We start from the raw sequence: 17,845 nt of genomic DNA, 5'->3' as shown, positions 1-17,845 counted from the left end.
TTTATCCAGTGTGGGATCTGGAAGATACTTAAAAAGTGTTACAAAACATTAGCAAAGTAAACTGAATCTCTATGCTTGCATTTATTGAATATTACATTTAGTTAGCGTTTTACAAATAATATATCAAAATTAATAATATAAAACATAATTGGATTTCTTATTCAAAATTTGAATAGGAGAGCTAAGAAAAGACAGAGCCTAAAGGGCCATTCAGACATTATTATGCCCAGTGATATGGGTTGAATTGTGTCACCCAAAAAGATATATTATGTCCCAGTCCCCAGTACCTGTGAATGTGACCTTATTTAGAAATAGGTATTTGCAGATGCAATCAGATTAAGATGAGGTCATATATGTTAAGGGTGGCTCCTAATCTAATATTACTAGTGTCCTCATAAGAAGGGGACAGTTTAAACACAGGCAGACACAGAGGGAAATTGGCGGAGATTCTCTGCCTTGGAGTTATGCTGCCACAAGTCAAGAAAAGCCTGGGGCTACCAGAAGTTGGAAGAAGGTTCCACCCCCATAGGCTTTGGAGGGAGCAAAGTCCTGCCAATGCCTTGACTTCAGACTTCTACTCTCTCTAGAGAATAAGATTCTGTGGTTTTAAGCCACCCAGTTTCTGATATATAGCAGCCCTAGGGAACGGACACACCTAGTTTTGTATCTCTTGTCAGGGTTGTACTTAAATAGGGTCAATTAGATTTTAGAGCATGCCAGGTGATATGATTTGGCTGTGTCCCCACGCAAATCTCATCTTGAATTGTAGCTCCCATAATTTCCATGTGTTGTGGGAGGGACTCTCTGGGAGATAACTGAATCATGGGGTGGTTTCCCCCATACTGTTCTCATGGTAGTGAATAAATCTCATGAGCCCTGATGGTTTTATAAGGGGTTTCACCTTTCACTTGGCTCTCAATCTCTTTTGCCTGGCACCATGTAAGACATGACTTTCACCTTCCACCATGATTATGAGGCCTCCCCAGTCACGTAGAACTATGAGTCCATTAAACCTCTTTTTTTTTGGTAATAAATATGAGTCCATTAAACCTCTTTTTTTTTTTGGTAATAAATTACGCACTCTTGGGTATGTCTTTATCAGCAGGAGACCTCTTTTTCTTTGTAAATTACCCAGTCTTGGGTATGTCTTTTTCTTTATAAATTACCCAGTCATGGTGTATGAAAATGGACTAATAATACACCAGGGAACTTTTAGGATATTTGGCTACTGGTGAGTTCTGGGGTTTGATTTCTGGGAGGGGGGATGCCACAGAGACCTAAGCTACCACTTAAAATTAATCTCTTCTCAGGAAAACTGTATTTGAATAACTTGGGGCAACTACTAATGTTTTCTGGGTGAATGGGTTTTCAGAGCTGCTGGATTGTGTGTGTGTGTGTGTGTATCTCAGAAACATTTAAAGTGTTGAAAGAGGGAAGTCAGACTCTTTCAATCATTCTGGTTATGTTCATTATTAACTGCAATGAACTGAATATTTTTGTCCCACCCCCCAAATTAATATATTAAAACCCTTATACCAATATGGTAGTTTTGGGAATTGGGTCCTTTTGGGGGGAAATTACATCATAAGGATGGAGACCTCATGAATGGGATTAGCACCCTTATAAAAAGAAGAGGAGACACAGGGCCTGTCTGCCTGTCTGCTCTCTCCCATGTGAGAATATAGCAAGAAAATAGCTATTCGTAAACAAGGAAGTGGGCCCTCACCAGAACTGACAGTGCTGGCACCCTGATCTTGTACTCCCCAGCCTCCAGAACTGTGAGAAATAAATGTTTGTTGCTTAACTCATCCAGTCTCTGGTACTAGACTGGGTGAGTTAATTTTTAGCTCAGTGAGTTAATTTTTAGTCCAAATTAAACATTAACGGAACTGAAACATTAGCAGATTCAAAATGTGTGAATAATGGTACGTGTGGAATTAGTCAGATGGTTTGCTTTTTAGACAGGTTTCAAATTATCTTGTGGCAATCTAGGTCATATCTTTCCCCTAGCAAGGTTTTTTAACTATAAGCTGTTACATACTCTAGTATAAATTCTGTTTAAATCTTAGTAGTAGCAAACAAACATCATTATTTTCATCCATGATATATTTATTAGGATGCTGATATCAGTGATAAATTCTTCACCATTCTTTTAGAGAGGTCAGCTATGGTAATATTTATAATAGCAGTAGAGATAAACAGTTGAGGAGCTTGCATTACAAATGTTAAGACCACTTAGGATAGTAGTAGGGAACAAGGTAGTTAATCTCATAATTCCATTTTTTGGCAGACACAAAGAGACAGAAACACAACGCCTTATCCTACAGAAATATTGTCTTCTTGCCATATCCTGACTTTCAGCCTTATGCTCTGAAATAGCAACAGTGTTTTGGCGTAGGACATATACAAGGCTTTAAAAAAATTTCTTTTTGGCCCGGCGTGGTGGCTCACGCCTCTAATCCCAGCACTTTGGGAGGCTGAGGTGGGTGGATCATGAGGTCAGGAGTTCGAGACCAGCCTGACCAACACGGTGAAACCTCGGCCTGGGATTACAGGCATGAGCCACTGCGCCCGGCCCGACTTATTATATTTTTTTTTACATAATTACCGAGAATAATTCCTACATATGAACAAGAATATAATCCTGTGATATAAACTATTGATAAGTGTTAGAGGAATTCAAAGTTGTGGAAAGTTAAGTATAAACTGAGACTAGTCAGAAGTCTTTATTTTTTGAGACAGAGTCTCACTTTCGCCCAGGCTGGAGTGCAGTGATGTGATCTCAGCTCACTGCAGCCTCTGTCTCCCGGGTTCAAGCGATTCTCCTGCCTCACCCTCCTGAGTAGCTGGGATTACAAGCGCCTGCCACCACGCCCAGCTAATTTTTATATATACGTATTTCTAGTAGAGATGAGGTTTCACCATGTTGGCCAGGCTGGTCTTGAACTCCTGACCTCAAGTGATCCACCCACCTCGGCCTCCCAAAGTGCTGGGATTACGTGTGTGAGCCACCGTGCCCAGCCAGAAGTCTTGATAAAGTACATGACAAGTGAGCTGAGGTATAAAGGAACTGGGGGATTTGAGGATTTGTTGAGGAGGCACTGTGAGAATATTTAAAGTAAGGAGACCTCATGTGTGAAGGTACAGGGTTGCGTATGAGAAGCTTAGGTGATAGTAGTCGATTAACCTGGCTGTGGAGGATGGTGGAGTGTGGAGGACCTAATATGATAGAAACTGTTACATAGATATAGGATGAACATCTCTAAGACACATTCCCTATAAACCCGCAGTATAAATGTATAGCACAAAGATTTTTATCTTGTTCTGACTTCTTATTGGATGAATATCTTACTGTTAACATATAACTACCATCCAATTAAGATTATTGCTCAACTCATGTAGTTAGTTAGTAGTCCAGATTTACCCAACATTAAGATGTAGCAAGTAATATGAACTATATTGGAACTTAAAAAATATTTATATGTTTTGTTGACTTCAAGGAGTGTGGCCTTAAGCAAGCTCTCTAATGTCCAGTTATCTGGCATTTTTGACAAGAAAACAATCTTTAACATGCACAGCCGTTATCATCACTGTCTTGTAATACACTAGAAGACAGTGACAGCTATCCAGTGCATCTTAGATTTATAACTCCTCAGAGAATAAATGCATTGAACATTCTATACATTATTTCTACAGTATGTCTAAAGTTACTGCTAAATACTTAATGATGGAAAGATAATCAACATGGATTTACATTTTATTGTGACAATTTTCCACATCAATCTTGGGAAATTTCCACTTAACATATATTTGGCCTACGAATGGCTTAGAAGATTACAAGAAAGAGGAGTGAGAGAGGATAAATCACTTGGCTAATAAAAATTGAGGCAAAGATAACCCATTGATAATAGTTGATGTCTTTTTAAATTCCTGAATGCAGTTTTCTGAATTTATTGTGAACTTGACTCAAATGTATGTCAATTTTTAACAGCATTAATTACTTGGAATTCTCCACATTGCCTGTTTCATTTGTTTGTTTGTTTTGAGATGGAGTCTTGCTTTGTTGCCCAGACTGGAGTGCGATGGTGCAATCTTGGCTCACTGCAACCTCCGCCTCCCGGGTTCAAGTGATTCTCCTGTCTCAGCCTCCTGAGTAGCTGGGATTACAGGCATGCACCACCACACCTGATTAACTTTTGTATTTTTAGTAAAGACGGGGTTTCACCATGTTGGCCAGTCTGGTCTTGAACTCTCGACCTCTGGTGATCTGCCTGCCTCTGCCTCCCAAAGTACTGGGATTACAGGCGTGAGCCACTGGGCCCAGTCCATATTGTCTTTTTTGATTTTCCACTCAGAGTTTCTATTTTGTTTTGAACGTGCTTTTTTTTTTTTTTTTTTTTGAGACAGAGTCTCACTCTGTTGCTCAGGCTGGAGTGCAGTAGCAAGCTCATAACTCAATGTGACCTTGAAGTGGGCTCAAGTGATCCTCCCGGTTCAGCTTCCAGAGTAGCTGGGACCACAGACTCGTGCCACCATGCCCAGCTAATTTTTGTATTGTTATTCTTTGTAGAGATGAAGTCTCCATGTGTTGTGCAAGCTGGTCTTGAACTCCTGGCCTCAAGCGATCCTCCCGCTTTGGTTTCCCAAAGTGCTGGGATTACAGGTGTGAGACACAATGCCCAGCCTGAGCATGCACTTTTTAACCTTTCCGCTCAGCTCCTGATTTATTAGCATGTGTTGAAATTCAGTTTTATGCCATCTAAAGTTGCTACTTTGAAGTTACTCTTTGGGAATCACTGTAATGAGCCCTTTGCACAATATGGAATATATCTTCTTGTTTGTGTACAGACTGTGCTATCATGTATGGCACTACCCATCCCATTTCTTCATATATTCCTCTGCTTAGGAGGTTACTGCCTAGCTATACCCCAGTGTATTTCCTTACTCTCAGTCTATGAGATAGAGATAGAAATCCCTTAGATCCTTCCACCCTTTATTTGATTCCTTTAACTCTTGGTAGCTCCAATTCTGTCTCTGGCAGCTGTAGGGGAAACCTCTTGTTTAACCTTCCCTGACAGGCCCTGGGATAATTCTGGGAAGCTTTACTAACTTTCCCTTCTACCCCCCTAGTGTTTTCTTTCCTTTGCAGATGTTTTTCTGTGCTTTTCATAACCATAAATTTATTTCAGATGAACCACTGTAGTTTACAGTTGTTGCAGTTTTTCTCATGCTAAGGTTCCAAACAAATTTTAACAGCTGCTAAGGAGGCTGGCAAAAAGCCTTGATTGCTAATTCTGTGTTAAACTACTTTTCACAATGGGACATTCTATAATATTTGGTATAGTCTCTAAAGCAAATGATTTCTATCTTATATTATTACTGTTTGTATCATACTCATTCGTAGTTTAAAAAAGATTCCAAGTCCATGCTTTCCAAAATGGGCTTGATTTTATTTAAAACTTTATAGAAAAGTTAGGGGTTCCCAATGTAATAGGGTTGTTATGATGGAGAAACAGGTAAGAGTGGTGTCAGTAAAGTCAAGTGAGTTAACACACAAATATAGTAAACTGTACCTTCTGGAAACATTACTCTATAAAGGTGAACATTTGTTCTCTTGGCTATAATTTGTAAATAGGTGGAAGGGAAGCTGCTTGTTAAAATTGGAGCCGAGAGATTCGCATGTCCTTAGTGTGTTTCCAAGTATGCTGGGGTCAGGGAAGCTGGTTGGCAGTCTGGTGTGAAGTGAAGATGTGCTCAGAATCTCACAAATAAATCCATACTGCAGTAAATCCCCTGCCAGATAATAAAGCGCGCATCGTATGTGTAACAGGGAGATGGCGTATTAATGAGGAAGTCATTGAAAACAGAATTTGATCTGTAACTGCTGAAAGTTGCTTCAAAAGCCACATCTGATCTGCTAGTACCTCCAAATTATTTCACAACTAGTTATGAAACAATTTTTTTAAAACAATCTAACAGAAATACTGTGCTGTGCTGTATTTTCATCTGGTTTTTTTTGTTTGTTTGTTTGTTTTTTTTTTTGAGACAGGGTCTCGCTCTGTCACCCAGGCTGGAGTGCAATAGCACGATCTCGGCTCACTGCAACCTCCGCCTCCTGGGTTCAAGTGATTCTCCTGCCTCAGCCTCCCGAGCAGCTGGGATTACAGGTGCCCATCACAACACCCAGCTAATTTTTGTATTTTTGGTAGAGACGAGGTTTCACCATGTTGGCCAGGCTGGTCTCAAACTCCTGACCTCAAGCAATCCGCCCACCTTGGCCTCTCAAAGTGCTGGGATTACAGGCGTGAGCCACTGCACCTGGCCTTTTCCTCTGTTTTATGACTCAATTTGTCAACTAAGTATTGATGGTGGATTTCTTATTATAAAGATATTTGATAATAAATAATAACATTTCAATCTGGGCAACATGGCAAAACCCTGTCTCTACAAAAAATACAAAAATTAGCCCAGCGTGGTGATGTGCACCTGTAGTCCCAGCTACCCAAGAGGCTGAGGTGGGAGGATCACCTGAGCCCGGGAAGGTCGAGGCTGCAGTGAACTGTAATCATATCACTACACTCCAGCCTGGGCGACAGAGTGAGACCTTGTCTCAAAAAAAAAAAAAATAGTTAATTAATAATAGCATTAATAAACTGAACAGTTTCTTGAAAAACACCCACATGGAATCTACACGTATTTTTGTTGGTTCTCAGTTTTTTTTTTTTTTACTCTTTATCACAATCAGTTGTTCTGTTGCATATATTTCTGATTTGTAAAAAAAAAAAAAATAATAAAATAGAAATGGAAAAATAATTCAATAATCTGATAAATAAATGCCAACTCCATATTTAATAGTGAAACATTAGAGCCCAGATTTCCATTACTGCTACTAATGTACTCATTTCATATGAATACATGAATAGGGTCATTAAAATAAAGGGTTTCATACTCAAGTAAGTTTGAGAAATGCTGAGTTAAACAAGATTTTTTAGGCCGGGCGCAGTGGCTCACGCCTGTAATCCCAGCACTTTGGGAGGCTGAGGCGGGCAGATCACGAGGTCAGGAGATCGAGACTATCCTGGCTAACACGGTGAAACCTCATCTCTACTAAAAATACAAAAAATTAGCCGGGTGTGGTGGCAGGCGCCTGTAGTCCCAGCTACTCGGGAGGCTGAGGCAGGAGAACGGCATGAACCCAGGAGGCGGCGGAGCTTGCAGTGAGCTGAGATTGCGCCACTGCACTCCAGCCTGGGCGACAGAGCGAGACTCCGTCTAAAAAAAAATGATTTTTTATTTTTTTTTTGAGACAACTTTTTCATCGCGGTGGTACAATCAAAGCTCACTGCAATCTCAACCTCCTGGACTCAAATGATTCTCTTGCCCCAGCTTCCTGAGTAGCTGGGACCACAGGCATGCACCACCATGCTTAGATAATTTTTTTTAATTTTTAATTTTTTTTTTTTTTTTTTTTTGTAGAGATGGGGTTTTGCTATGTTGCCCAGGCTGGTCTTGAGCTCCTGGCCTCAAGCAATCCTCCCGCACCAGCCTCCCAAAGTAGAGACTACAGGCATGAGCCACTGCACTTGGTGAAGTTTTCCTTTTAATGCAGGACTTTGCAGCACCTTTAATATGTTAATACTCACTGGGACTCTCTAAGAGGAATATATAACTTGGTGGTATCACAGAAGTATTTGACCAGAGAAATATTTTTTTAGAGCATCCCCAGCAAGCAGGGCTCTGAGGAATATGCCTTGGCAAACACTGACACAGCACTTAGCCAGGTGTGAGACACTATGCACTAAACTTCTGCCAGCAGTTACTCTTGTGTAACTCACCACAGACAGGTGTCATGTTAGTGAAATGGCTAGACTTCACTGTGGATGTGAATCAGCTGGAGGTGTCTGTCAAAATGCAGATTCTTAGGCTCTACTCTAATTCAGTGATATGACTTGAATTCCAAGAATCTACGTTTAAATGCATCAAGTGAGATTTCTGATATGTGTCTATAGTTTATGGTTTGAAAAACACCATGTTAGAAAGTTTGGGTCATTAATCATAAAAGATGAATGTAATTAATTCATATAAATTTGAACGTACAGGTTTAATAAAACTGATGTTACATGTTGAAACTGGGACATTCTGAAAGTTTATAGGCTAGGCACAGTGGCTCATGCATGTAATCCCAGCACTTTGGGAGGCTGAGGTGGGAGAATCACTTGAGCCCAGGAGTTCAAGGCTGCAGTGAGCTTTGATGGCGCCATTGCACTCCAGTCTGGGTGACAGAGTGAGACGCTGTCTCTAAAATAAAAATTTAAAAAAGGAAAGTTTATTGATGAAAGGGCAATTAGGTATGGATAAAACTTCACATTCATTTAACTTATACATCAGTCATCTTTAATACTCATGTGCCGAGGTGCCAAGCTTGGACTTATTGACTCACTGTTACCATAAAATATTCATGTAATCTGCATATTTGCTCATGTGGCATGTAACTGAAATCAATAAAGATGCCCCCTCCCTTGACGAACCTCAATTTGCACTTCTGGCAATGATTGTAGCTCTCTGCACATAGCTTGATATTTTCTGCTTCATGACTTTGCTCTTGCTAGTCCCCTTGTCTGAAATGTCCCTTTTCTTGTTTTCTTCTCTGGCTAGTTTGTTCTCTGCTGAGTGTGAATATGTATAGGTGGTTTGAAATGGGCATAACATATTCATTTAGTTAAACGAGTGATGATTGAAGCTGGTGAAATATGCGTGGGTGTGTAGTTGTTGGAGCAGGAATAATATCTGTTAGCTTGAAACAGGTACCAGGTAGCCTAAAATTCCAAGGCAGGCTCACAAGGACTCAGGTGATCCAAAAAGCTATAGAAATATAGAAATTCAGGAAGGCATTATTATGAGGAAGAGAAGCAGTTTAAATTGTACTCAGTTTGCAAAAGATAATTTTCACCTCATTGAATTTTGCTGATAATTGAATCAGGTTCGATTTTTTGTTAATAATAATTTCATTCCTTTTTGACTAATTTTCTCACCTACATGGATCTGTCTCAGCAATAGCAATTTACTGTGCATTAATAATGATTACTGGTTACTGATTGAGTAGAATGGTTCTTCCTACCAGGTAGTTATACATCTTCAGATAGCATTCAAAGCACTTATTTTTAATTATTCTGAAAATAAAAACAAATACTAATACGCTCATATCTAGTTTTTTAAAATCTTCAGCTAAAAGAAGCAGTATATCTTGCCGTGTTCCTCGTTCACATTTGACGCCTCACTTTTTGTCAAAATGCCAAGTATCTGCCATGGTAGACATATACTGGTAGATGTATTGTGATTGTAATGTTTGATAAGGGAGAAGAATTCTATTCAAGTCTTTTAGAGTGTTAGACTTCTCTACCTTCTAGTATGAGACGTGCTTCCAGCGAAAAGAAAAGAAAGGATATTGCATTTAGTTATGATTCATGAATGTCAGGATTTAAGTGTTGCAGGACTTTGTGGAAGTGGAAGAAGTAGTGGGAAACAGGAAGCCGGGCTGCCATAAGCACATACATAACAAGTAATTAATTGACTACAGACGTGAGGGAACCTACAGAGAACATTAGAAAACACTATTGTACATGAAATGCATTAACGCTAATTTTGTGAACAGCTGGATGGCTGAATGTTTGATAATGAAGCAAGCCATTTTAATTTGATCTAAGCTTCAGCTTTTAATTGAATTTATAAGAACATGGGAAAAATTAACAGGCAGCTTCTGGCAATTCAAAAACATTATTTTGCTTTAGAGTCTAAGCTTCTTTCTAAATTTGGGAAATCTGGCCCTGGATAAAGATGGAGCAAAGAAAAATCGTTCTGTAATACCAAGAACAGCAGATTTATGTCTCCGATTTCAAATAAATGCAGATTGTCATTGTTTGTCAGAAAGGCAACTACTCCTTTGGACATAATCATATCTTATAGTGACTAACAGGTCAGCTCTAATTATTAGATGGTTGGTTGAATCAGATAGGTGACTTTTTCCTCTGTGAAAAGGCAAGAATATCATATAGAATAATTTTTCAAATGCTTTCAAAGTAGAGCAGTGTGTGAGGCCAGAGATGAATCTTCTTTGTTAATAGACCCCAGAAGAGCTGGGCAAGAAACAAGGAACTTTTTTTAAAATAATAGGACCCCGTGTCTTTTGACTAGGGCTGGCTAAGACTTATGTGCTCAAAACTGCTGCTTCCTACAAGAAACATAAAGGATCATCAGTTTTCTATTCCTAAAAAGGGTGCCTTGAGCCATCACATTTGTATCCCAATAACCTTAACGTATAATCTAACCTGTCACTGTTTTGCATCCTCAGATGAAATGCTTTATCATCTTACTCTATCATTTGGTAGAACAATGCAAGGCAAAACAGACTATTCCATGGTAAAAGATATGAATCATATTCTGGAGCAGGGTGTGTCTAAAGATGAAGTATAATTTTTCTTCCCCCTGCAGAGGTGATGAATGTCTTTTGTCCCTCTTTTTTCTTATAAACAAAGAGATTCAATTGTTTTCATCTAGTTCCCAAATCCCATCAAGCTGAAAGTTTACTTTTTCAAAAACTGTTGGGGCAGATTTTCTCAAATAAGTAAAACTCTAGTTCAAAAGTCATCTACTTCAAGGAATTTTCCCTAATTATGTTTATCTCAGTTGATTTCTCCCTTTGTACTCTGGCATTTTATATACAATTTGGAATGTATTATCAGACAGTTTTATTCTTCTCTTTTACATGTGTCTATCTTAGATCTCATTCTAAATAATAAGCTCATGTAGAGCAGGAATTCTCTGTCTTATTTTTATGTTTTGCATCTTCCATAGTGTCTGAAAAACTGCTATGTGCATAATAGGTGCTTAGTAGAAGTGATTAGTACAACATGTTCATAAATATTCTTGGGTAGCCCCTGTATTGGCTAAGTGGATTTGAACAACTATTTATTTTATGTTTAATAAAAAGCGTTAAAGTCTTTTTTGCTGCTTTTCCTTGGTAGAGACATTGTATAGGAACTCTGGGACTTGCACAACTTGGTATTTTTATTATGTAAATCATAGTTTGGAATTGATGGATTGACACATGGAGATAATAATTCATTTTTAAGCAACTTTGAAAATGCAGCAGTGAAGGCGTCAAGCCTTAGAAGTATTATTATTTTTAAAAGATCAAGTCCAAAATGTGGTAAATAATCTGTAACTAAGAGGTTATGACCAAGCTTGGTGCAGATATTTCAGATAATTGGTGATGGTATCTCCTGAAGCAAGTGAAGGGCTATGATAATTGCTTTGGTTGACTGGGGTTGGCAGTACAGAGCAGAGAAGGATATAGAAATACACAGCTGCTGTGTAAGCCCAGGAATGAAAGGAATTTTGGAAGATACAGTCAGCTTCTGATTATCTATGTATAGATAATTCACACCCCGTGATGTATTTTAAATTTCATCACTGACTAGCTTTCCCTTGTTACCTAGTCTCACCTTTCCCTCTATCTATTTTGTGGTCTTTGGAAACTTCCACTTAGTTGACTATCTAGATTAGACAAAATGTAACCAGAAAGGTAAATTTTTAGAGGAAATAACTACATAGAATCAAAAACAAAACACAGAGCTATACTATAGTAGATGCTAGGATGTGGGTGAATGTGGTCATGTAGGACTGTTAAAGCATTGTGAAAATTGCTCTCCCAACAAAGATTTTTAAAACAATCCTATTTGCATCAGTCTTCAGTTCTCAGTTGGGTGGACCAATTGGTAATTCTTTGTGAAGAATATTGAATGTTGTTCACTGTTACTACAGATATTCTTAAGACAGAATTTGGACCTCCTGGGACATTATATGTTTTCAATGTATTTAATCTGTTGCTGAGCAATGTGTAGAAAAAAGGTCTTGAAAATTAATGCAGCAATACTGAGAGATTAAAAATTCCTGAAAGTGTGTGTTACTAAATTTTCTTCTCTGCTGTGGGCTCTGTGCAGAATTCACACAAAGTAGAGGGAAAGATAACCTCATGGGAATTTGACATGCAATAGCTGAGGAGATCGATGCTGACTGTAACCCCCTCCACAAATGCATGTATCCATCTTTTTCTAAAGTACAGTTTTAATGGAGTATCTTTAAAACATGGGTTATCTGACTAAACGTTTGTTTAGAGCTAGACAACTTAGATTTGTGCCTTATTAGAACTATTTTTTTCTTACATTTGTCAATCCTTGTTGTGTGTTTGTCTTGTCTCTATAATTAGAGTATAGGCACATTAAGGACTGAGACTATAGCTCACTTATCTTTTGCATTCCCCTTAGGCTGTGCAGAGTGGTTGGCACACAGTAGGTACTTGATACATGTTGTTTGCCTGAATGTATTAGTTTTCTTCATGTGCATCTGCGTGTATTTCATTCAAGACAGATAGATGTCTAAGTGAAATCAGGAGACAGAGGCTTCCATGGTCCACTCTAAGATTTGTCACTCTCAATATTGAAGGAATTCCTCTAATACGTGACTTCAATACCATTTCTCTTTTTCTCTCATTCTCATGTTATATGTATATGGATGTATATATGTATGTTATTTTAATCTTCTTTTTCTAGGACTTATTTTCTATCTTTTATTATGTTTGTACTTCATCATAAAATTAAAAAAATTAGGTCTCTAAGGGACATCCTCCAATTTCTCCTTATATTTCCAAACTGGGTTACCAATACTGCATACTTTGCTATCATACAGTAGCAATTTTATTTTAAAATATATATATATTGGAGACAGGGTCTTGCTATGTTGCCCAGGCTGCAGTACTATGGTGTGATAATAGCTCACTGCGGCTTTGATCTCCTGGGCTCAAGCGATCCTTCCACCTCAGCTGGGACTATAGATGTGTACCGCCATGCATGGCTAATTTTAAAAATATATACAGAGACATGGTCTTGCTATGTTGCCAAGGCTGTATGTTTTGTTTTTTTTTTTTTGGTAAGTGTCTTTAAACATTTTAGTAGCCTGTGACTGTTGAATGTGTAATTTAATGAATGAGTGGAACTTGAATTTGACTTGTAAACATTGGAACAAGGTTCATGGAAGTATCTGGCTTTCCTACCTTCTAGAAATCCAAATGCTAAGTATACTTTTTCCTCTTTTCTAATTTAAGTAGAAGAAAGGATATCTTTACTGTTTCTGCTAGCTCCATGAAGGCAGAGACTATGGTTGTCATCTCAGTTCTCCAGAACAGTGCCTGAAACATAATAGACGATAAATGAATATTTTTAGAAGGATTGAACGTAAATAAAGTCAATAGGATCAAATAGCCCCACTGACCTTCTAGCTGTTCCTCCAACCTGCCAAGTAACTTCCCACCTCAAGGCCTTTACACTTGCTGTTTCCTCTGTTCTGAATGTTCTAAATACCCATATGATTAATTCCATCATTTTATTCAAATCTGTGTTAAAATGTTACTTCTTTAGATACATTTCCATTCTACTATCTGTTAAAATAGTTTATCTCCACCTCTCCCACCCCAATTACTCTTATCCATCTTCACTGTTTCTTCTTAGCACATATTGCTATAATATTTCATTATACATTGTATACTTGACGTTATCTCTTTCTTCCCCCTAGAAGGAGGGGAGAATAAAATTTGAGATATGTAAATTCAGAGACTGTATAATGTCAGGGTTTTTGGAGGAAACAGAAATCATTTTAGATAGTTCAAATAAAGAGATTTTAAAGAATTACTTACAGTAGTAAGTTTGGGCAGGGTTAAGGAAATAAGGTATATTGAAACTAGACTTGATAGGGAGAGAGGAAGAAAGAATGTTACTGAAGCCCAGTGAGAGCTGGAGCTGGGAAGGACGGATTGCCTGAAAGAAGATGTCTTGCTAAAGGGACTCTACTGCTGACAGAGAAAGACATGGCGCTGGCAGTAAGGAGAAGCGGGAGAAGAAATGGCCGACTCTTCTCATTTATGCCATTCTCCTACCGATGCCTCCTGTTATGAAAACCCAGGGAGAAACCAGCTGGCAAGGAGCCCAGGTGAACCAGTTCTTAGGGGTCAGCCTCTTAGGCAACAGTGGACAGAGGAGTGAGAATGAATCTTGCCAAGAAAACAGAATAAAAAGCACAGTGTATTGTTTGGCTCACGACTGAATCTTTCATGCTCAGAACAGTACCTAACACAGTGCAAGTGCTCAATAAATACTTGTTAAATAAAATAACCAATGATGATAATTTGTTAGAGCAAAGCAACATTGATCCAGGATATTATCATACAGGGTCTCTGATCTTATATTGGGGGGGATGGTAGTTGTCCAAGGCATATATTTGGAGAAATTCGCAGATTACAACTACCCTAAAGAGGAGAATCAGTGCCTTTTATTATTTCAATCCACTATCACTTATTTGTAATTTATGAGTTATATCTTAGTATTCAAAGATCTTGGAAGAAATTTTCCAGTAAGAAATTTTGGTAACTATATGGTTTTTTTCAGGGAAAACGGTACTAGAAGATAGCTACTGGATTGCTTTATTATTACACAGGTAAGTAAAAAGTATGTAATGACATCACTGATTAATTAGCTTTAACTCCCACCTTGATTATGGGGATTCATGAGGATTAACAGCAAAGATAAGGGATAGAAATATATCTATGATCTCAACTCTGAGTCAGCTGCGTACCTGTAATTCCTTCACTCTGCTTTATTCCAAAAAAACACTCTGGCATCAATGTGGATAATGGACTAGAAAAGGGTGTTATTCACTGATACAGGAAAATCAGGAGATTTATTCGGAGACTACATTAAAGAAGATGATGGTGGGTACAGCAATGAACAGGTTGTTTGGTATTGAGATGGGAAGTTGAGGGAGCTGACATTTCAAGTCTCTCTAAAGAGAAAAGCAAGACTGAGATCAAAGAGTTTTGGTGGTGGTGGTGGGATATAGATTGCTTTGAGAAAGGTAGTAAAGGTTTATAATAGTAAGAGACTTTAGAGCTAGAAGGGCCCTTACAAATCTCTTAATTCCATGTTTTACAAACTTTGATTTTTCAATCAGTGGAATTATTTCTCCAAATGAATTCTTTTGCAGTAGTCTAGAATATGTAAATCAGATAAAAGTTCAATGGCTCAGATAGAAGGGGAGAGAAGCCCTGAGCCTCAAATGTTATGTGTCCTTTATGCCTCCCACCTGCTCATCCTCCGATTGCCCAGCGTGGTTCCAGATGTATCTCTGAAGAATGCCTAGTCTCCTTTGAAGACAGTTTCAAAGCCATCAATCTCCTCATTTTGTAGATGAAGAAACAGACCCAGAGAAATGAATTGACTTTTCCACAGTAAGGTCAGGACTAGGATCCACCTCTCCTAATTCCTAGCCAGAACTTTTTTTTTTTTAACTGTATTATCCTATCCCACTGCTTGTAGACATAAAACTAATTGGCATCAACAAAAGTCTCCAAGAATCTTGGATTTTAGGCTTTATTTTTCCAACGACATTTACCCTCAGATAATTTCTTTCTGTACTTCACAGTTCTATTTTATTATAAAAATTAGGAAATGTCTTTTCTTACCAACCTCCCAACTTTAGATTAAATAAGAAGGTGTGTTGTGCTTAGAGATCCTTGGAAGGAAGTTGTGAAGCACATTCAATTTCCTACCTGTGAAAAGCATAAAGGCTTTCTGGGGAAGTCATCAAGCAGAACTGGGAATGAAAAGCATTGAAACATTAAAAAATGCTCATGTACTACGTGTAGTCTTCAGTAACTTGTTTTTTTTTTTTTACCTGAAATTATGTTTCTGAGATTCATCATGTTATTGTGTGTAGCTGTAGTTCATTCCTTTTCGCTGCGGTCTGAATATACCTCCATTTATTTATCATAGTTTAGGGAGACATACACATGACAAAATTAGGGTTTTTGAAAAAGCAAGGAAATGATCTTTAAAATAAGCATAGTAATGGCCTCTCAAGGGGAGAAAGAAACATGGGATTGGGAAGAAACCCCCAGTAGTTTTAACATTTTTAGTAATACTTTAGTACAGTGATATTCTAAGTGTGGTCCCAAGGCCACCGGCATCAGCATCACCTGAGATCTTGTTCAAAATGCACATTTTGGGGTTCCCCTGAGACCTACTGAATCAGAAACTTTGGGGATGAGCTCAGTAGTCTTTGTTGTAACATGTTTTCCAGATGATTCTGATGTATGCTGAAATTTGAGAACCACTGTTGTACTGTTATGCTTTATAATTTATAATTTACTTCTCTCTCTCTCTCTCTTGCTCTCTGTGTGTCATTCTCTCTCTGTCTCTCTCTGTGACATTCTCTTTCTTTCTGTCTCATATTACACAACAAAAAAATAAAAGCATCTGATCAGTGGCTAACCAGAAATAAAGAGCTGTAGGGATATTAGAGCCATTTGAAAGCTATTCCTTTTGCAGGCTATTTGGTCAGAAGGATAAGTGGTGGGAAGAAAGGAAAGAAGAAGAATGGAACCATGGAGTAATTCAGGAGGAAGGTGAAGATTAAATAAGAGAGGGTCCTTCTGGCAGTATATGATGACAAAAGTGTAGCTGAAAATATAGAATATACTTTGAAACACATGTATATATGTTTGAATCTGTGTGTGTGTGTGTGTGTGTGTGTGTGTGTGTGTGTGTGTGTGTGTATGCTTTGAATGATACCTTGCTTGGAAAGCTTAACATGCCCCCATCAGTAGAGATAATGACTCCGCCTCTCTACTTACCCCTGCTTCTGAATAATTTAGACTCAGCAGGGAGTAACGTACTTTCACCACAGGATACAACTGCTGTTGTTAAAGTAGATCTTGCTGCCTTGGCCAGGCGTTCTAAAATGAAATGAATGTGTATCATTACTACTTTGACTTCCTTTTTTGTGATTTTGGAGCTGCAGTTGCCTTTGCAAGCTATCTCTTTTTCCTGCTGCTAGCATCACATATCATCATACTGAAAGTGAACACTACAAAAGGGGTAAAAAAGCTTAGTCTTTATTTATTTTGAAAGAAACTGGTTATTAACTGAACATTTATTCTTAAATGGCTAACCAGTGTTCAGACTGCAAAAGAGTAGTCCACTCTGAAAGGTACCACACAGTCTAACTGTTCAAGATGTCATTGTTGCACACAGAGGACACAAAGGACTTTAACCTGCCAACTGCCTGGGGACAGTCAGGGAAGAATCTCTTAAAAGATATTAATTGTGCAACATACGCACCCTAGGGAAAACATCTGTAGCAGACAGAAAATAGCACCAATGAGTTTTATACCTCTTTCGGGTTTGTCATTTGCAACATGCTTTGGACCAATAAGATATGAGTTTATCCTCTTTGCTAGACTTCTGTTAAGATAAACTAAATGCTGTAAGAAAGTTTCCTGTCATCACCCTTGTTAAGGTTCTTGCTATTGTAATAACTTTCTGAACAGTCTACCCTTCTCTTACCTTGTCCACACTCCAGTTCCTCCTCCCTGCCACTGCCAGATTGACTTTCATGAAGTACAGTTTTGATTGTGTCATTAGTCCACATACTACATCTCCGTCTCTGCTTTGGTGAATTAGAAACTCAGAGCTGACTCTATCCTTTACTGTTAATAATTGTGCAGGATCTTCTTTAAAAATTTTTGTACACAACCTACTCCTGATGTCATTTGACTATCTTATTATTATTTTAACCATTCATCTTGGACTCTTTACATATTTTTATTCTATTACATTGTATTTTTGTTAGTTGCCTCAAATTCCTTTTGAAATGTGGAGAGGTGAAAATAAACAGATGCAGAAATAAATACAGTCAGTAAGTCATTCTCCTTCTTGGAGGCTTTTATTACCTCCCCATT

General features: G+C 38.3%; 1 long non-coding RNA gene across 1 annotated transcript in view; it reads left to right on the top strand.

The window, feature by feature from the left end:
• LOC107985714 (uncharacterized) overlaps positions 1–17,845 on the top strand; it is a 114,069-nt gene that overhangs the window by 87,142 nt on the left and 9,082 nt on the right. Inside the window, exon 2 of the long non-coding RNA XR_001755917.2 lies at positions 14,496–14,544. This is a non-coding gene — a long non-coding RNA (uncharacterized LOC107985714). The remainder of the gene's footprint in view (positions 1–14,495; positions 14,545–17,845) is intronic.

The sequence above is a fragment of the Homo sapiens genome, chromosome X, assembly GCF_000001405.40.
Source record: "Homo sapiens chromosome X, GRCh38.p14 Primary Assembly".
Lineage (NCBI taxonomy): Eukaryota > Metazoa > Chordata > Mammalia > Primates > Hominidae > Homo > Homo sapiens.
Note: the sequence above shows the minus strand (reverse complement) of the source record. Positions and strands in the feature narration are given on the sequence as shown.